General features: G+C 61.1%; 2 protein-coding genes across 28 annotated transcripts, besides 5 other annotated features; one reads left to right on the top strand and one right to left on the bottom strand.

Annotated features, from left to right (window-relative positions):
* REEP6 (receptor accessory protein 6) lies at positions 757 to 7503 on the bottom strand. 2 transcript variants are annotated; one of them, NM_001329556.3, is made up of 6 exons: positions 7300 to 7503; positions 3297 to 3390; positions 3077 to 3215; positions 2231 to 2399; positions 2013 to 2093; positions 757 to 1510 (listed from the first exon to the last, which is right to left on the bottom strand). In NM_001329556.3, exons 1-6 carry the CDS (start codon positions 7412 to 7414, stop codon positions 1473 to 1475), a joined length of 636 nt encoding a protein of 211 aa, NP_001316485.1. In that variant the 5' UTR covers positions 7415 to 7503; the 3' UTR covers positions 757 to 1472. The 2 variants fall into 2 exon arrangements, with proteins under 2 accessions (NP_001316485.1, NP_612402.1); NM_138393.4 differs by lacking the exon at positions 2013 to 2093.
* Positions 1111 to 1665: an enhancer, noted in NCBI's record as "H3K27ac-H3K4me1 hESC enhancer chr19:1497018-1497572 (GRCh37/hg19 assembly coordinates)". NCBI's record gives its function as "activates a minimal SCP1, AML or CMV promoter by ChIP-STARR-seq in naive H9 embryonic stem cells {active_cell/tissue: H9 hESC(naive)}" and the evidence as "EXISTENCE:reporter gene assay evidence [ECO:0000049][PMID:30033119]".
* Positions 7255 to 7374: a silencer, noted in NCBI's record as "silent region_9724". NCBI's record gives its function as "represses an Ori minimal core promoter by ATAC-STARR-seq in GM12878 lymphoblastoid cells {active_cell/tissue: GM12878}" and the evidence as "EXISTENCE:reporter gene assay evidence [ECO:0000049][PMID:35858748]".
* Positions 7405 to 7944: a silencer, noted in NCBI's record as "silent region_9723". NCBI's record gives its function as "represses an Ori minimal core promoter by ATAC-STARR-seq in GM12878 lymphoblastoid cells {active_cell/tissue: GM12878}" and the evidence as "EXISTENCE:reporter gene assay evidence [ECO:0000049][PMID:35858748]".
* On the top strand, positions 7808 to 17256 carry PCSK4 (proprotein convertase subtilisin/kexin type 4). Of its 26 annotated transcripts, none has more exons than XM_011528088.3 (16): positions 7815 to 7905; positions 8787 to 8891; positions 9011 to 9091; positions 10404 to 10496; positions 10592 to 10720; positions 10823 to 10899; positions 10993 to 11081; positions 11371 to 11543; positions 11619 to 11831; positions 14557 to 14657; positions 14743 to 14846; positions 14917 to 15034; positions 15221 to 15400; positions 15664 to 15788; positions 16209 to 16331; positions 16477 to 17256. In XM_011528088.3, the coding sequence occupies exons 1-16, from the start codon at positions 7903 to 7905 to the stop codon at positions 16923 to 16925; spliced, it is 2163 nt and encodes a 720-aa protein (XP_011526390.1). In that variant the 5' UTR covers positions 7815 to 7902; the 3' UTR covers positions 16926 to 17256. The 26 variants fall into 26 exon arrangements, with proteins under 26 accessions (XP_011526393.1, XP_011526390.1, XP_047294937.1 ...); XM_024451555.2 differs by lacking the exon at positions 7815 to 7905 and adding an exon at positions 7975 to 8081; XM_011528086.3 differs by lacking the exon at positions 7815 to 7905 and adding an exon at positions 8334 to 8526 and having other exon boundaries at positions 15248 to 15400.
* Positions 8165 to 8594: a silencer, noted in NCBI's record as "silent region_9722". NCBI's record gives its function as "represses an Ori minimal core promoter by ATAC-STARR-seq in GM12878 lymphoblastoid cells {active_cell/tissue: GM12878}" and the evidence as "EXISTENCE:reporter gene assay evidence [ECO:0000049][PMID:35858748]".
* Positions 15849 to 16460: an enhancer, noted in NCBI's record as "H3K27ac-H3K4me1 hESC enhancer chr19:1482223-1482834 (GRCh37/hg19 assembly coordinates)". NCBI's record gives its function as "activates a minimal SCP1, AML or CMV promoter by ChIP-STARR-seq in naive and primed H9 embryonic stem cells {active_cell/tissue: H9 hESC(naive and primed)}" and the evidence as "EXISTENCE:reporter gene assay evidence [ECO:0000049][PMID:30033119]".
* Positions 17257 to 17968: the final 712 nt, after the last annotated feature.

The following is a 17968-nucleotide window of genomic DNA, read 5'->3' as shown; positions in this document are numbered from 1 at the left end:
CTATGACCCTGCCAAATCCCCCTCTGTGAGAAACACCCAAGAATGATCAATAAAAAAAAAAAAAAGTGTCTCCAGACAAGACCCAAAGGCCGGGGGACAAAACTGTTCTGGGTTGAGAATAACTGAGTTATGGCCCCTTGGGAAAATATATCAGGGTTTGTGGTTTATCCTACTCACTTTTTTTTTTTTTTTTTTTTTTGGAGATGGAGTTTCATTTGTTGCCCAGGCTGGAGTGCAGTGGCGCAATCTCAGCTGACTGCAACTTCTGCCTCCTGGGTTCAAGCAATTCTCATGCCTCATCCTCCCAGGTAGCTGGGATTACAGGCATGTACCACCATGCCTGGCTAATTTTTGTATTTTTAGTAGAGATGGGGCTTCACCATTTTGCCCAGGCTGGTTTTAAACCCCTGACCTCAGGTGATCCACCTGCCTCAGCCTCCCAAAGTGCTGGGATTACAGGTGTGAGCCACCGCACCCAAATGGGGGAGTTTTAAGAGAAGCAGGCTAATGCAAATAGGCCAGACAACTAGTTCGGGAGGGAGGAGAGAAAGCACTGTGATTAAGGACAAGCTTTTCCGGGGCTTGCACCCATCCTGGCCATGTGGGTGGACCTTGAGTGGGTGAATTAGCCTCTGGGCCTCAGTCTCCTCATCTATATTATGGGGCTGGTCGGCACAGCCGGGATTCATGCCTGATGAAATGGGACGGTGCCCTCGCAGCCCCTCCCCTGGGCCCCCCGCACACGTGGCACACAGGTCTGGTCCGGGTTAGCTTTATTGGAGCCTCCTAGCAGGCCAGGTGTTTCAGGCACCAGTAGTGCTGCAGGCACGGGGGCCTGTGGTGTGGCCAGCTGCAGGTGATCTCGGTGGTGGACTCCGAAGTGTACTCCAGAGAGGTCCCGGAATGGCAGGGGACCAGCTCGGGCACTGAGGCGCTGCTGGCAGGCTGTTTCGACGATTCCTTCTGGCGCTGTCCGCTGGTCTTGGGGGCTGCGTCCTCCGGCTTGCCAGAGGACTTGCTGGGGGGCTGCGTGGGGATGTTGCTGCTGCTGGGAGACTGGACCATGGGTGAGACCGGGCTGGAGGTGACGTTGGGTGGCTGCAGGGGCCCCGAGGACGGGAGGGCTGACTGGGAGGGGCTGGAGGAAGTACCAGGCGGCTGGGTGTGTTGCCGAGACCAGTGGGAGCTGCCCTGTGCCCGACGCTGGCCCTGGGCCCTGCCGGACAGGCGGGAGCCACAGCCAGAGCCAGAGGGCAGCTGGCCCTGGGATCCAGAGCTGGGGGTGGCCGAGGACTGGGACTGGGACTTGCCCGAGGTGGCATTTAAGGAGACCCCCAGGGCCTTGCCTGGACCCGAGGGACTGGCAGGGGCTGCTGTTGGGGGATGCGCTGAAGACTCTGTGGAGGCCTGGGAGCCTGGCGCGGCCCCCTCCTCACCAGCCAGGAGGTCCTTGTGAGGCTCAGGGGGCTGCTTCACTTGTCCTTCGGCTGCGGGGTCTGGCTTGGCTTGACTGCAGAGAGAGGGGCGGGTGGGGGAGGGCCGTGAGGCAGGCCTGGGCTCCCCGGAGCTGCTCGCAGGCGGGACTGAGGCTACTGGCTATGAGCATGACAAGTCGAGGGGCCGGGCAGCCACCCTCAGCAGAGATGGTGTCAACCACACAGAGGCTTTCATGGTCACCCATGCACAGATGGGTGCACACAGAGCACACGCATGTGCAGTCATGCACACGCACGCACTCACACGTGCACACATGGTCACACGCACACACATATACTCACATGCACACGTGGGCACACACACACATATGCACACGTGAGAAAACATGCTCACTCCCTTGCTCACTCACACACCAAACATACACTTGAGCCCATGCACACGCACCCTCTTGCACATGACAAAACATGCACACACAATAATACATGTGCACACAGCAAACATACGCTCAAACACACGCGCGCGCGCGCGCACACACACACACACACAGCTCCTATCTCCCCACAGCGGTTACGTACGGTCAGCTTCCAGGGGAGTGGAGGGCCCGGCCACAGCCACCGGGGTGATGCCTGCCCGGCTACGGGCCAGGACCTGCAAGACTGGTTCCCGGAAGCGTGAGAGAGAGAGGCGGACAGTGAGAGGGGGCGGCCAAAGTCAGAAAGGGAGGCAAGGTGGAGAGAGACAGGTCCAGACCCGGGAGATGGCCTGAGGCAGCCAGGCGCCTGCGAGCACCCACCGTTCCTGGTTATTCCGGCCGCCGCGTCCAGGGCTCGCCCGCTGAGGTCGTTCATGATTCTGTCTACGGCCCCGTGGTGCCTTAGGAACAGCGGACGCACGACGCGCTGATACAGCATGAGAGCCCCGTTCCAGGGCCTGGGAGCCATGCAGAACAACAGGAAGGCGCACTGCAGGGCGGGGCAGGAGTTACACGCGGGCCCACCCAGCTCTGTGCCCCTGGTGGGGAGAGGGGCTGCACCACTCCACCAGATGCCCATCCTGGACAGGCACTGGGTCTCCACCATCAGACACCCTTTAGGGTGGGCCCGCCACCATCAGACGTCCTATTGGGATGGGCCTGGGTTTTCGCCATCAGATACCCTCTAGAGTGAGCCCTCCACCATCAGACGTCCTACTGGGACAGGCCTGGGTCTCCACCGTCAGACACACTTTAGGGGTGGGCCCTGTGCCATCAGACATATTATTGGAATAAGCCTGGGTCTCCACCATCAGACACCCTTTAAGTGAGCCCTCCACCATCAGACATCCTATTTGAGCAGGCTTGGGTCTCCACCATCAGACACCCTTCAGGGTGGGCCCTCCACCATCAGACATCCTGTAGGGTGAGCCCTCCACCATCGGACATCCTATTGGAGCAGGCTTGGGTCTCCACCATCAGACACCCTTCAGGGTGGGCCCTCCACCATCAGCCCCCGGACAGGGCTCGTTTCCCCAGGGAAGGGACTGAGTCTTCCCCTCACATCCCCCATCTCCTGGTATCCTCCGGACTTTCTGGCCCCAGCGCCTCCCAGGAATCCCCAAGCCCCATGCGCTCCACGGCTGTGCCCGCCCTGGCAGGGCCCACCTTGCCCACGTAGTAGAAAGGGAACCAGGACAGGAGTAGATCGCTGAAGAACTCGGCCAGCCCAAACAGGGCGTACACCACCCAGTAGGTGAGCCACACAGTGTCGTCGTCCTTGCTTGGGCTCTCGATAGCTTTGATTCTGCAGGGAGGGTGCAGCAGGGTCAGGGGCTGCCAGGGAGCCCCCAGAACCCCCCGCGTGGGCAGCCAGCCGTGCACTCACGAGGCATATGCGGGGTACACAAATCCGATGAGATTGCACAGCAGAGACGCTCCGTAGCCGAACAGCAGATACAGGCTTAGCAGAGTGACGGCTCCTGCCGGAGAGAGGCGGTGGTGTGCCAGGGCTGGGGACCCGCTGAGCCCCCACGACGGTACCCAGGCCGCCTTTCAGTCGACGAAGACTGCAACCGTCACCTCCTCCCAGGAGCCGCCTCCAGGATATGTCCACTGCCCCTGATGTGCCTGTACATCCCCCATCGTGCCTCTAGGCCCTGAGCCTTGTGCCTGTAACTGGTCAACGTGTCCATGTCCCCCACCGGGGTTGAGAGCTCCCCAAGGGCAGGCAGGAGCTCGACGCTGGGCAGTGGGGGTGGGTGCGGAATAGCTGCCCAGTGAAGTGTTTGCAGCCGGGCGCGGTGGCTCACACCTGTAACCCCAGCACTTTGGGAGGCCGAGGCAGGTGGATCACGAGGTCAGGAGATGGAGACCATCCTGGCTAACACGGTGAAACCCCATCTCTACTAAAAATACAAAAGATTAGCCAGGCATGGCGGTGTGTGCCTGTAGTCCCAGCTGCTGGGGAGGCTGAGGCAGGAGAATGGCGTAAACCCAGGAGGCGGAGCTTGCAGTGAGCCAAGATCGCGCCGTTGCACTCCAGCCTGGGTGAGGCTCCGTCTCAAAAAAAAAAAAGTGTAATCTGCAACGATAGCCATCTCATTCCAGGCCCTTTGGGAGGCACTGGGAAAACAGGCCAGTGTTTCAATATAAGGGATGGCAGAAACCTGCAAGGGAGGCCAGGCTGTCATGAAGACTTGATTCTAGAGCTGAGAAAGGCAACTGTTTCATCTGTTATCTTAGCGCAGGGTTTCTCTGCCTTGGCACTGCTGATGTTCAGGGCCGGGTCATTCTTGGTTGTTTTCGGTGGAGAGGGGGAAGTGGCTGTCCTGGACACTGCAGGGTGCTGAGCAGTGTCCCTGGCCTCTGCCCACTCCATGCCATCAGCCCCCAAGTCATGACGACTACAGGTATCTCCAGACATCACCCAGTGTCCCCTGGGGCGGGGTGGGGGGCAGGGCTACCCCCTTTGAGAACCTCCTGTCTTGGAGGCAGCAAACCCCAGCATCTCGATCCCCTGGGTGGAGGAGAGCCCTTTGGTCGGGTGTGCACTCACCAGCCGGCACTGAGTGAGGCTGTGGCTGCATGGAGCCTCAGTTTCCCCCTTGGTAAGTGGGAGTAGTAATGGCCCCTGCCTCCTATGGTTACAAGTTAACAGAGAGAACGCCTTTCTGCACGTTTATTTCTATTTATTTTCGAGATGGAGTCTTGCTCTGTCACCCAGGCTGGAGTGCAGTGGCGCAATCTCAGGTCACTACAAGCTCGCCTCCCAGGCTCAAGTGATTCTCCTGCCTCAACCTCCTGAGTAGCTGAGCGTACCACCATGCCCAGCTGATTTTTGTATTTTTAGTAGAGACGGGGTTTCACCATGTTGGCCAGGCTGGTCTCAAACTCCTGACCTCAGGTGATCCGCCCGCCTTGGCCTCCCAAACTGCTGGGATTACAGGCGTGAGCCACCGCCATCAGCCTTTCTGCACATTTATTAAGTGCCTTCAGGCAACTATAACACAGTCCCAGCAAGGAGGGTGTTCAGAGAAAAACGTGTGTGTGTGTGTGTGTGTGTGTCCAGCTCAGCCCCAATCCTGAACCTGGCTCTGAAAAGAATGACTACGACAGCTGCATTTATTAAGCGCCTATTGTGTGCCAGGTTTTGTGCTTTTCCTGAATTATTCAACAGCCAAAACTGGGGGTGGGTGGGTGTTGCCCAAGGTCACACAGGGAACCTATGTGCTCCAGAGAGCTTGGACAGCCTTCTTCCTCCTCCCCTGGGGCTGCTATCTGCAGAGTGAGATAGAGGCCACTTCTGGACCAAAGGGCAGAGGCCCAAGTCCCCCCAGCCCCTCCCACCTGCTTTAGTCTTTATCCAAAAGCACCCAAGGTCAGGGGTAGGAGGAGTCCCCCAGCTGGTCCCAGGAGTGGCCTCCCAGTCACTGTCCCCTCTGAGTTTCTTCGTATGTTACCCAGGGGTGTGGGATTTGTCAATTTAAAGGAGGTGGGAGATGGGGATGAGGGACTGCCATCTCTCCCCGGGCCTGGCTCGTGGGGAGGAATGACTCTCCCAGGGCGTCCCTCCCCTAAATCCCTTTTCCTGCAGCTTCAGCGACGGGAGGATGACCTTGGACATCAGAACTGTGGAGGGAGGCCCAGCCCCCAAGATTAGCAGCAGATGGGACTGGGGGTGGGCAGGGTGGAGGACTGTATGCTTCAGACAGAACAGGCACAGAGGCAGCCCCTGCCTCCCTGTGCCTCAGTTTCGTCTCTGGTGACACGGTGCCCCAGGCAGCCCCTCCCTGCTGCCTGCCTCCTGGGCGCTCTACGACCTAAATTCCTGCCCACTAGCCCCAGGGATGTGGAAAGGGAGGGCAGAGGTCAGGGACCTGCTCCCGGGGGCAGGCACAGCCGGGCCATGCCCATGCCACCTGCTGCGCTGCACATGGGACCAGGCACCTGGGGACCTCCAGGGTGTGGGCACAGACTTCAGACTGTTCTGGCGCTGCCTGGCATGGGAACCCCCAGATGGTGGGAAAATTGGGGGGGAACTGGACTCCTGGGATCCACCTGCAGAAGGTGCTCAAAAAAGTGGCACTGTCCTCTACCCAGAATACCCCAGGCCCAGAGCAAGTCCTTGTGAGTCATTCTGCGGAGCTTCCTGGAAGAGAAGGCAGAGCCAGTGGGGCTGGGAGCACCACACAAACGGAAGAAAGGCTGGGTGCAGTGGCTTCCACCTGTAATCCCAGAGCTTTGGGAGGCTGAGGCAGGAGGATCGCTTGAGCCCAGAAGTTTAAGACTAGTCTGGGTAACATAGTGAGACCCTGTCTCTTAAAAAAGTTAATTTTAAAAAGTTTTAGGCCAGGCAAGGTGGCTCATGCCTGTAATCCCAGCAGTTTGGGAGGCCGAGGTGGGCAGATCACCTGAGGCCAGGAGTTCAAGACCAGCCTGGCCAACATGGTGAAACCCCGTTTCACCATGTTGAACGGCTAAAAATACAAAAGTTAGCCGGGCATGGTGGTGGGTACCTGTAATCCCAGCTACTTGGTAGACTGAGGCAGGAGAATCGCTTGAACCCAGGAGGTGGAGGTTGCAGTGAGCCAAGATCACACCACTGCACTCCAGCCTGGGCAGCAGAGCAAGACTCGGTCTCAAAAAAAAGTTTTAAAGGTGGGGAGGGAGGCATTTAAGGAGCGTTTACTACATGCTCTTGCTAGAGATTTGGAAAGGGGAAGGGGCGCGCAGCGTCACCAAGGGTGAAAGTCACGGAAGAACTGTAATGGAGTCACAATCGGGGTGCCTGGATCTCCGGCTCTGTGGGCCCCAGTCCAGCCTCCCCACATCACAGCCGTCAGACAACCCAACTCCGTCTTAACAAACATTTACGCTCGGTGGCACTAAGCCATTGAGCTGGGGGAAGGTGAGCTAGGGCAGGAGAGGAGGAGGAAAGGAGAAGGGTCCTGGGCAGGCCCCCAGGACGGTCCGTTCCCCTTCCCGCCAGGAGCCTCCCCTCAGAAAAACGGGAAGATCTCTACTGTTGCAGCCAGGCCGGGGTCCACGGGGGAAGGGGGACGGCGAAACGCGCAGGACACTGGCATCCCGACCCCTCTGGGGCCACTGGGCAACTGGAAGAACCGGACTTCGGCATGGCAGGCACCCAGCGCCCGGAAGGAGGCGTCGGGGGGCGGCCAGGGGCGGAAGCTAGAGAGGGGTGGCCCGGGAGCAGGGTCGCAGGGCGCGGGCAAGGGAAGGGCTGCGGGCGGACCTCGAGGTCCCAGTCACCTCGCGCGCTCCACCGGCCGGACCGGACCCCGTAGCCGGGGAAGGAGTCCGGTCTGCGACCCCCAGGCCCATGGCCTCGGTGTGCCCGTCGGCGAAACGGGCTAGCGCCGACGGCTCACCTGCAGCCAGATACCGCTTCTCCACCCCGGTCTTGGCCTCCAGCGCCCCCAGCACTTCGGTGACCAGGTTCCTTTGCTCCAGGAAGTGCTCCACGCGCTGCCTCAGGCCGTCCATGGCCCCGACGCGCCCGGGGTTGGCTGCTCGAGCTCGCCCGCGGACCAGGGCACCCACCCCGCTGCACGCGCACCGCTTTCCCGCAGCCTGAGCCGCGATGCTCCGGCCCCGCGCCGGTGTCCGCCCCCGGCCCCCCGCTAGGACCAATGGGAGGGCAGGGCGGACAAAGGAGGAGGGGCCTGCCCCGTCTCCCCCGCCGCATAGCCCTCCGCCACGGCCGCCGCTGCCCAGACCCCGCCGGGAGAGGGCGGGGCGCGGCGGCCCAGGGCACCGATTGGCCGGGCCGGAGCGAGACGTAGCTGATTGGAAGGGCGGTGTCAGAGGATGGGATTATTGGCTGAAGGGTGGAGCCAGGGCGAGGAGAGGCGTGGGGGGGCGGAACCGGGGGGAGGGGCTAAAGAAACATCCGAGCCGATTGGAGAAACGGGACGCGATTCATTGGCGAGACCAGTGGAGGGCGGGGCTGATCACAAAGGAGGCAGGGCGGAATGGTAGGGGCGGGAACGGGGCGAGGCTTATCGGAGGAGGCGGGATTACGCAAAAGAATGATTCTGATTAGGCCGGACAGGAGGCCGGGCTGATTCTCGAAGGAGGGGTGTGTTGGAAAGTGGGAGAGGTCAAACAAAGGGTAGGACGCGTTATCGCAACAGTGAACCCGCTTCTCTGGGTTAGTCTTGTCGTTGTACAAATGGGAAAACTGAGGCTCCCGAGGGTGTGGGTCTGCGGAAGACGGGCAGGCGTGCGTCCCTCTCCCGCTTCTGTTAGATCTTCGCGCCCCTCCTGGCTGAGTAGCCGCAAGGCCCCCTGGGAGTCGAAGCCTTCTGCGTTGCTATGGCGCCGGGGGCGGGTCGGACGCCTGGGCCCACTCGGCGGTTTGGCGGGAGGGAGGGGATTTGCGCAGGCCCCGCTCCCGCCCCGCCTCCATGCGGCCCGCCCCGATTGCGCTGTGGCTGCGCCTGGTCTTGGCCCTGGCCCTTGTCCGCCCCCGGGCTGTGGGGTGGGCCCCGGTCCGAGCCCCCATCTATGTCAGCAGCTGGGCCGTCCAGGTGTCCCAGGGTAACCGGGAGGTCGAGCGCCTGGCACGCAAATTCGGCTTCGTCAACCTGGGGCCGGTGGGTGGGACCGGGATAGACGGGAAGTGGGGGCTTGGAGGGGACTGAACAACCCTAGACCCCGACAAGGGGGAGGGAGCCCACAAGGTCTTCTAAATATCAAGAGTCCCAGCCCACCCCTGCCTCAGCCAAGCTCAGCTTCTGGGACTCCCAGAGAGCACCTGCTGGGGAAGGACAAAGAAGGGGGCTGTTACCGGCCCTCGGGGGCTTCAGCAGGGGAGCCGGGTCCCATCGGTGCGGCCGCTTCCCCACATCCCCAGATCTTCCCTGACGGGCAGTACTTTCACCTGCGGCACCGGGGCGTGGTCCAGCAGTCCCTGACCCCGCACTGGGGCCACCGCCTGCACCTGAAGAAAAACCCCAAGGTGAGCCTGGCCTGGAGGCCAACCCCCTGCCCGGGGTCTCAGCTGCCTCCTGGGGCCACCAGCCATCTTCTGTGGTTCTCGTGGTTGTTATGAACAGCTGTGTGCTTTCTGTGGCTCAGACCCGCCCGGGCCCCAAGTCTATACAGCAAGAGGAGGCAGGAAGACCCAGATACGGAAATCATGGCGCCTGCCAGGGCCTGGTACACAGTGGGCACCTCTTGTCCTCCCCCTCCCTCCTCTGGGCCCCAGGGGCTCTGGTAAGGAGGGACAGACGGCGTGACTTCCCCACCGTCTAGGTCATGGGATGGAGGGAAGGGGATTTTACGACACCGTAATGGGTTCCAAAGAGTAGGAGGCTTGGCCCGGCGCGGTGGCTCACGCCTGTAATCCCAGCACTTTGGGAGGCGGAGGCGGTCGGATCACAAGGTCAGGAAATCGAGACGAGATCCTAGCGAACACGGTGAAACCCTGTCTCTACTGAAAATACAAAAAAATTAGCCGGGCATGGTGGCAGGCGCCTGTAGTCCCAGCTATTCAGGAGGCTTAGGCAGGAGAATGGTGTGAACCCGGGAGGCGGAGCTTGCAGTGAGCCGAGATCGCGCCATTGCACTCCAGCCTGGGCGACAGAGCGAGACTCCGTCTCAAAAAAAAAAAAAAAAAAAGTAGGAGGCTTACAGTCACCCAGTGGCCCTCAGGACGCAGTGTCCAGGCGCTCAGAAAGGGGCCTGGGTCCCATCGGGCTGGGCCCTGTCTAGAAAATGCCTGGGATGTCAAGCTGAGGGGTTGGGATGGAGCCTGGGAAGCCCTCGGAGGCCAGGAAGTGCCTTGAACAGGACTGGACAGCTGCCTGCTTACAGCACCGGGAGGGAGAGCAGTGGCCAGTTCCTGATGTGGTTTGCAAGAGAGAAGCCAGGCCTGGCGTGGTGGTTCATGCCTGTAATCCCGGCACTTCGGGAGGCCAAGGCAGGCAGATCACTTAAGCTCAGGAGTTCGAGACCAGCCTGATCAACATGGCGAAACCCCATCTCTACTAAATGTACAAAAATTAGCCGGGCATGGTGGTGTGCGCCTGTAGTCCCAGCTACTTGGGAGGCTGAGGTAGGAGAATCGCTTGAACCCAGGAGGCAGAGGTTGCAGTGAGCCAAGATTGCGCCACTGCACCCCAGCCTGGGCGACAGAACAAGACTCTGTCTCAAAAAAAGAAAAAAAATAAGGAAGTGATGCAGGAGAGAGATAGAAGGATCTAGAACAGGGATGGGGGAGAGAGTGGGGTGGGGACCCGGGGACCTGCAGTCACCCGCGGCAGCAACGACGCGTCTGTGGGCCCAAGGACAGGTGGTCCAAAAGCCTCGACCCCTTCCGACTGCAGACAGAGCCCCAGGCACATGGGGACCCTGGAGAGCAACCCCCACAAACACAGGGTCCCAGGGCACGGGGCTGCCTCACTCCCTGAACCACGAGGGGCCCCAGGGGCGAGCAGGGGACAGGCCTGATGCACCCTCTGCTCTGCAGGTGCAGTGGTTCCAGCAGCAGACGCTGCAGCGGCGGGTGAAACGCTCTGTCGTGGTGCCCACGGACCCCTGGTTCTCCAAGCAGTGGTACATGGTGAGCAGGCAGCCAGGGTGGGTAGACGGGGACGGGGCCGCTGGCGCCCTCAACTCCAGGCCCTCACAGGGTCACAACCCCGCCTCCCCCTGCAGAACAGCGAGGCCCAACCAGACCTGAGCATCCTGCAGGCCTGGAGTCAGGGGCTGTCAGGCCAGGGCATCGTGGTCTCTGTGCTGGACGATGGCATCGAGAAGGACCACCCGGACCTCTGGGCCAACTACGTGAGACCGCGGGTGGCTGTGGGCGAGGGCTGCCCCAGGTGCCGAGGCTGGCACCACCCTAGGGACGCCTCCCGGCCCCCTCATATCCCCACCTGCCCCCAGGACCCCCTGGCCAGCTATGACTTCAATGACTACGACCCGGACCCCCAGCCCCGCTACACCCCCAGCAAAGAGAACCGGTGAGCAGGGCTCCCACAGCACACGGGGGAAGCCCCAGTACCCGGCAGGGGGATGGAGGCCGTGACAGGAGCCCCTCTTGGCCCTGGCACCAGGCACGGGACCCGCTGTGCTGGGGAGGTGGCCGCGATGGCCAACAATGGCTTCTGTGGTGTGGGGGTCGCTTTCAACGCCCGAATCGGAGGTACCCGGGGTCCCCCAGCGGCACCATTCCGGGACAGAGAGGGAAGGGGGTGACTCTGGCGGGGAGCTGGGCCCAAGGACTCGGGAGCCCACCCTCTCACTGCTGGGTGGTGCTAGGGCCCCAGACTCCAGGGCTTGGGGGGTGCTGAGCCAATACGAATGGTCCCACTCCAGGGAGCAGAGAGAGGGCCCAGGTAGGGCTGGGGAGTGGTGTGGAGTGGCGCGGGGCGGGCTGGGGTGTGGGGAAGGGCAGGGCCGGTGGCAGCGGCCCTCCCGCCCTGGCTCTGCAGGCGTACGGATGCTGGACGGTACCATCACCGATGTCATCGAGGCCCAGTCGCTGAGCCTGCAGCCGCAGCACATCCACATTTACAGCGCCAGCTGGGGTCCCGAGGACGACGGCCGCACGGTGGACGGCCCCGGCATCCTCACCCGCGAGGCCTTCCGGCGTGGTGTGACCAAGGTGAGTGGCAGCCCGAGGAGGGCAGGGGTGGCAGGCCAGGCCGACGCCCCCTCCCCGCCCCTCCTGGTTTCCCAGGGCCGCGGCGGGCTGGGCACGCTCTTCATCTGGGCCTCGGGCAACGGCGGCCTGCACTACGACAACTGCAACTGCGACGGCTACACCAACAGCATCCACACGCTTTCCGTGGGCAGCACCACCCAGCAGGGCCGCGTGCCCTGGTACAGCGAAGCCTGCGCCTCCACCCTCACCACCACCTACAGCAGCGGCGTGGCCACCGACCCCCAGATCGTGAGTGCAGCCGCCCCAACAGGGTCCCCTCCCCAGGCCCTGCCATCCCAGCCTGGCCTCCTCCTGTCCCCACCACTGTGACTTAGCACCCTCCCAAAGCTGCTTTGAAAATGCAAATCCAGGCCGAGCACGGTGGCTCACACCTGTAATCCCAGCACTTTGGGAGGCTAAGGCAGGCAGATCACAAGGTCAGGAGATCAAGACCATCCTGGCTAACATGGTGAAACCCTGTCTCTACTAAAACTACAAAAAAAAAAGGCCAGGCACGGTGGCTGACGCCTGTAATCCCAGCACTTTGGGAGGCCGAGGCGGGTGGATCACGAGGTCGGGAGATCGAGACCATCCTGGCTAACAGAGTGAAACCCCGTCTCTACTAAAAATACAAAAAATTAGCCGGGCGTGGTGGTGGGCGCCTGTAGTCCCAGCTACTCGGGAGGCTGAGGCAGGAGAATGGCATGAACCCGGGAGGCAGGGTTTGCAGTGAGCCGAGATCGGGCCACTGCACTCCAGCCTGGGCGACAGAGTGAGACTCCGTCTCAAAAATCAATCAATCAATCAATCAATAACCCAAATCCAGGCCAAGCACAGTGGCTCGCGCCTGTAATCCCAGCACTTTGGGAGACCAAGGTGGGTGGATCACCTGAGGTCAAGAGTTCAGGACCAGCCTAGCCAACATGGCAAAACCCCATCTCTACTAAAAATACAAAAAAAAATTAGCCAGGCATGGTGGCGGGCGCCTGTAATCCCAGCTACTCAGGAGGCTGAGGCAGGAGAATCGCTTGAACCCCAGAGATGGAGGTTGCAGTGAGCCAAGATTGCACCACTGCACTCCAGTTTAGGCCACAGAGCGAGACCCTGTCTCAAAACAAAACAAAACAAAACAAAACAAAAACAAATCCAGCCGGGCGCAACAGCTCACTTTGGGAGGCCAAAGTGGGAGAATCACTTCAGCCCAGGGTTTCTTTTCATTTGTTTGTTTTTGAAGATGGAGTCTGGCTCTGTCGTCCAGGCTGGAGTGCAGTGGCGCGATCTCAGCTCACTGCAAGCTCCGCCTCCCGGGTTCACACCATTCTCCTTCCTCAGCCTCCTGAGTAGCTGGGACTACAGGTGCCCGCCACCATGCCCGGCTAATTTTTTGTATTTTCAGTAGAGACAGGGTTTCACCATGTTAGCCAGGATGATCTCGATCTCCTGACCTCGTGATCCGCCCACCTCGGCCTCCCAAAGTGCTGGGATTACAGGTGTGAGCCACAGTGCCCAGCACTTTCTTTTTTCTTTTGAGATGGAGTCTCGCTCTGTCACCCAGGCTGGGTGCAACAGAGTGAAGTGGCATGATCTCAGCTCACTGCAACCTACGCCTGCCGGGCTCAAGCGATTCTTGTGCCTCAGCCTCTTGAGCAGCTGAGACCACAAGCATGCCACCATGTCCTGCTAATTTCTTTTGTATATTTTGTAGAGATGGCATTTCACCATGTTGGCCAGGCTGGTCTCCAACTCCTCAGGTCAAGCGATCCACCAGCCTCGGCCTCCCAAAGTGCCGGGAATAGCAGGCCACGCCACCATGCCCGGCTAATTTTTTTGTATTTTCAGTAGAGACGGGGTTTCACCATGTTGGCCAGGCTCTTAGTTCTTTTTGAGCATAGTCCTTGTTACTTCTTGAACTCAGTCCTTGGAGTCCTTGGTACCTTTTTTTTTAAATTTTTTTGAGACAGAGTCTCACTCTGTCACCCAGGTTGGAGTGCAGTGGTGCAATCTTAGCTCACTGCAACCTCTACCTCCCAGGCTCAAGCGATCCTCCTGCCTCAGCCTCCTGAGTAGCTGGGATTACAGGTGCACACTACCACACCCAGCTAATTCTTGTATTTTTCCTGTAGAGACGGGGTTTCACCATGTTGCCACAAGCTGGTCTCAAACTCCTGAGCTCAAACAATCTGCCCGCCTCAGCCTCCCAAAGTGTTGGGACTACAGGCGTGAGCCACTGTGTGGCCAGTCCTTGGTACTTTTTGACTTCAGTTCTTGGTACTATTTTTTTATTTTTTTGAGATGGAGTCTTGCCATGTTGCCCAGGCTGGAGTGCAACGGTGTGATCTTGGCTCACTGCAACCTCTGCCTCCTAGGTTCAAGTGATTGTCTTGCCTCAGCCTCCCAAGTAGCTGGGATTACAGGTGCCCCGCCACCATACCCGGGTAATTTTTTTGTATTTTTAGTAGAGACAAGGTGTTGACCAGGCTGGTCTCGAACTCCTGACCTCCGGTGATCCACCCACCTCGGCCTCCCAAAGTGCTGGGATTACAGGTGTGAGCCACCGCACCCAGCCCTTGGTACTTTTTGAATTCAGTCGTTAGTACTTTTTTTTTTTTAATCCAGAGTCTGGCTCTGTTGCCCAGGCTGGAGTGCAGTGGCGTGGGTGTGATCTCCGCTCACTGCAACCTCTGCCTGTCGGGTTCAAGTGATTCTCCTGTGTCAGCCTCCCGAGTAGCTGGAACTACAGGTGCCCGCCACCATGCCTGGCTAATTTTTGTATTTTTGTAGAGTTGGGGTTTCACTATGTTGACCAGGCTGGTCTTGAACTCCTGACCTCAGACAACACGCCCGCCTCAGCCTCCCAAAGTGCTGGGATGACAGGCCTGAGCCACTGCGCCCGCCCAGTCCTTGGTACTTTTTGAAGAAGGGCTGTATTCTCACTGTGCACGGCCCCCCGAGTCCCACCCCCCTCTGCCCTCAGGTCACCACGGACCTGCATCACGGGTGCACAGACCAGCACACGGGCACCTCGGCCTCAGCCCCACTGGCGGCCGGCATGATCGCCCTAGCGCTGGAGGCCAAGTAGGTGACTGCGGGGCCCGGTCCACCGCCCTCGCCCCCAGGCGCGGCCCGGCGGCTCACCCGCCCCCGCCCCCGCCCCCCGCAGCCCGTTCCTGACGTGGAGAGACATGCAGCACCTGGTGGTCCGCGCGTCCAAGCCGGCGCACCTGCAGGCCGAGGACTGGAGGACCAACGGCGTGGGGCGCCAAGGTGCGGCGGGGCCGGGCGGGGGCGGGGACCCGGGGCCCACGGGGCGAGTGACTGCTGCCCTTCCGCGCAGTGAGCCATCACTACGGATACGGGCTGCTGGACGCCGGGCTGCTGGTGGACACCGCCCGCACCTGGCTGCCCACCCAGCCGCAGAGGAAGTGCGCCGTCCGGGTCCAGAGCCGCCCCACGTGAGACCCCTGCGCGCCCCTCCGCTATCCCCGCTGGGGGTGTGGGGGACAGGCCTGAGGCCTCAGTTTACCCATCTGTAAAACGAGGGCTGGACCCCGTGACCTCTGAGCCCCGACCTCGCCTGCTGGCCGCCCACCCACCCCCCAGCAGGCCGCAGGAGGGTCCTCACCCCTCGACCCCCTCAGCCCCATCCTGCCGCTGATCTACATCAGGGAAAACGTATCGGCCTGCGCCGGCCTCCACAACTCCATCCGCTCGCTGGAGCACGTGCAGGCGCAGCTGACGCTGTCCTACAGCCGGCGCGGAGACCTGGAGATCTCGCTCACCAGCCCCATGGGCACGCGCTCCACACTCGTGGCCATACGGTGAGCGGCCCGCAGAGGAGAGGGGGCGGCCTCATGCCCTGTCGGTAAACGCTGCCATCTACCCGGAGTGTCCTCACGGGGAGGGGCCAGGCCCATAGGAGTCACACGGCAGCCTAGTTGGTGGGACCCCGAGTCACACCCTCACCCACACCCAGAGGACACGCGGCCACCAGCGCGTGCGGTCAGACACTTCATGGGGCTCTGCCGGCTTCACAAAGCCATCCCTCTTGACACCCCCACCCCCACCCACCCTTCTGTCCCAGACCCTTGGACGTCAGCACTGAAGGCTACAACAACTGGGTCTTCATGTCCACCCACTTCTGGGATGAGAACCCACAGGGCGTGTGGACCCTGGGCCTAGAGAACAAGGGCTACTATTTCAACACGGGTGAGGGCGGGGCGGGGCTGTGGTGGGCGGGGCTTGGCTCTCCAACCTCCCCCCAGGGGCTCTGGAGCTAGCCTTGGTGACCGCACTGCAAAAGGGGTTCCCAGTGGCCTTCTCCAAGAGAACATGCACACAGTAGGCGTGCAGTCACCCGGGAGATGGTGTGCAATGACAGGCACACAGTAGGTGTGCGGTAACACGGGAGATGTAGGTGCCCAGTGACAGGCGCACAGTAGGTGTGCAGTCACCCGGGAGATGTCGGTGTCCAGTGACAGGCGCACAGTAGGTGTGCAATTCCCTGAGAGATGTGAACCAGTCCAGGGCCCCGCGTGGGAGCTGAAGGGGAGGGAGCCCGGGGACTACCAGGACCAGGCTGCCGAGAGCCTCCTTTTCCTCCTGTGCCCACCCGCGACCCCTGTCCAGGGACGTTGTACCGCTACACGCTGCTGCTCTATGGGACGGCCGAGGACATGACAGCGCGGCCTACAGGCCCCCAGGTGACCAGCAGCGCGTGTGTGCAGCGGGACACAGAGGGGCTGTGCCAGGGTGAGTGCCGGCGGGGCAGGGCCCACTGCTGGGAGGCGGTGGCGGCCACCGTGGGCAGCGTGCATGTGGCCCCAGGCGGGCGGGTGGCGAGTAACAGGCTGCGGGTGGCAAGCTGACGGGCCTTTGCGTGCGTGTCCCCGAGCAGCGTGTGACGGCCCCGCCTACATCCTGGGACAGCTCTGCCTGGCCTACTGCCCCCCGCGGTTCTTCAACCACACAAGGCTGGTGACCGCTGGGCCTGGGCACACGGCGGCGCCCGCGCTGAGGGTCTGCTCCAGCTGCCATGCCTCCTGCTACACCTGCCGCGGCGGCTCCCCGAGGGACTGCACCTCCTGTCCCCCATCCTCCACGCTGGACCAGCAGCAGGGCTCCTGCATGGGACCCACCACCCCCGACAGCCGCCCCCGGCTTAGAGCTGCCGCCTGTCCCCACCACCGCTGCCCAGCCTCGGCCATGGTGCTGAGCCTCCTGGCCGTGACCCTCGGAGGCCCCGTCCTCTGCGGCATGTCCATGGACCTCCCACTATACGCCTGGCTCTCCCGTGCCAGGGCCACCCCCACCAAACCCCAGGTCTGGCTGCCAGCTGGAACCTGAAGTTGTCAGCTCAGAAAGCGACCTTGCCCCCGCCTGGGTCCCTGACAGGCACTGCTGCCATGCTGCCTCCCCAGGCTGGCCCCAGAGGAGCGAGCACCAGCACCCGACGCCTGGCCTGCCAGGGATGGGCCCCGTGGAACCCCGAAGCCTGGCGGGAGAGAGAGAGAGAGAAGTCTCCTCTGCATTTTGGGTTTGGGCGGGAGTGGGCTGGGGGGAGAGGCTGGAGCACCCCAAAAGCCAGGGGAAAGTGGAGGGAGAGAAACGTGACACTGTCCGCCTCGGGCACCGCGTCCAACCTCAGAGTTTGCAAATAAAGGTTGCTTAGAAGGTGCTCAGTCTGTGGCCTCCTCTGGAGCAGGGTGGGCCCGAGGCCCCAGGGCTCAGGTGGTTTCTGCTTGGGGTCCCCGGACATCAGTCCATGGAGAATGCAGCCGGCCACGGAGAAAGAGTCCGCCCAGGCCCAGGGACCCCAGGCAGTGGGAACAGCAGGGAATGGCCGGGGGTCAGCAGTAATGTCCAGCCCCAGAACATGGCTCACCATGGCCCAGAATCCTCTCCTGCGGTGATTCCTTTGTTTTTTTTCTTGTTTGTTTTGAGACAGGGTCTCCCTACGTTGACTAGGCTAGAGTACAGTGGTGCGATTGTAGCTCACTGCAGCCTTGAACCCTGGCCTCAAGCAATCTTCCCTCCTTGGCCTCCCAAAGTGCTGGGATTACAGGCGTGAGCCACTGTGCCTGGCCCTTTCCTCCCTCCCTCCCTTCCTTCCTTTTCTTTACTTCCTTCCTTCTTTCCTTCCTTTCTTCCTTCTCTTTCCTTCCTTTTTTAGTAGAGATGGGTTTCACCATGTTGGCCAGGATGGTCTCGATCTCCTGACCTCGTGATTCGCCCACCTCGGCCTCCCAAAGTGCTGGGATTACAGGCTTGAGCCACCGCACCTGGCCCCTTCCTTCCTTTCCTTTTCTTTCTTTCTTTCCTTCTTTCTCTTTCCTTTTTCTTTCTTCCTCTTTCTTTTCTTTTTCTTTCTCTCTCGCCTTCCTTTCTTC

Source organism: Homo sapiens, chromosome 19, assembly GCF_000001405.40.
Source record: "Homo sapiens chromosome 19, GRCh38.p14 Primary Assembly".
Lineage (NCBI taxonomy): Eukaryota > Metazoa > Chordata > Mammalia > Primates > Hominidae > Homo > Homo sapiens.
Note: the sequence above shows the minus strand (reverse complement) of the source record. Positions and strands in the feature narration are given on the sequence as shown.

Excerpts from the sequence above, each read along its gene's own strand:
- REEP6 (NM_001329556.3), bottom strand. The coding sequence starts at position 7,414 with ATGGACGGCCTGAGGCAGCGCGTGGAGCACTTCCTGGAGCAAAGGAAC. Across the intron at positions 3,391-7,299 it reads GAAGCGGTATCTGGCTGCAG|GAGCCGTCACTCTGCTAAGC; the intron begins GTGAGCCGTCGG and ends TCTCTCCGGCAG. Across the intron at positions 2,094-2,230 it reads GGCCGGAATAACCAGGAACG|TCTTGCAGGTCCTGGCCCGT; the intron begins GTGGGTGCTCGC and ends TCCGGGAACCAG.
- PCSK4 (XM_011528085.3), top strand. The coding sequence starts at position 8,338 with ATGCGGCCCGCCCCGATTGCGCTGTGGCTGCGCCTGGTCTTGGCCCTG. Across the intron at positions 14,847-14,916 it reads CAACGGCGTGGGGCGCCAAG|TGAGCCATCACTACGGATAC; the intron begins GTGCGGCGGGGC and ends CCTTCCGCGCAG. Across the intron at positions 16,332-16,476 it reads CACAGAGGGGCTGTGCCAGG|CGTGTGACGGCCCCGCCTAC; the intron begins GTGAGTGCCGGC and ends GTCCCCGAGCAG.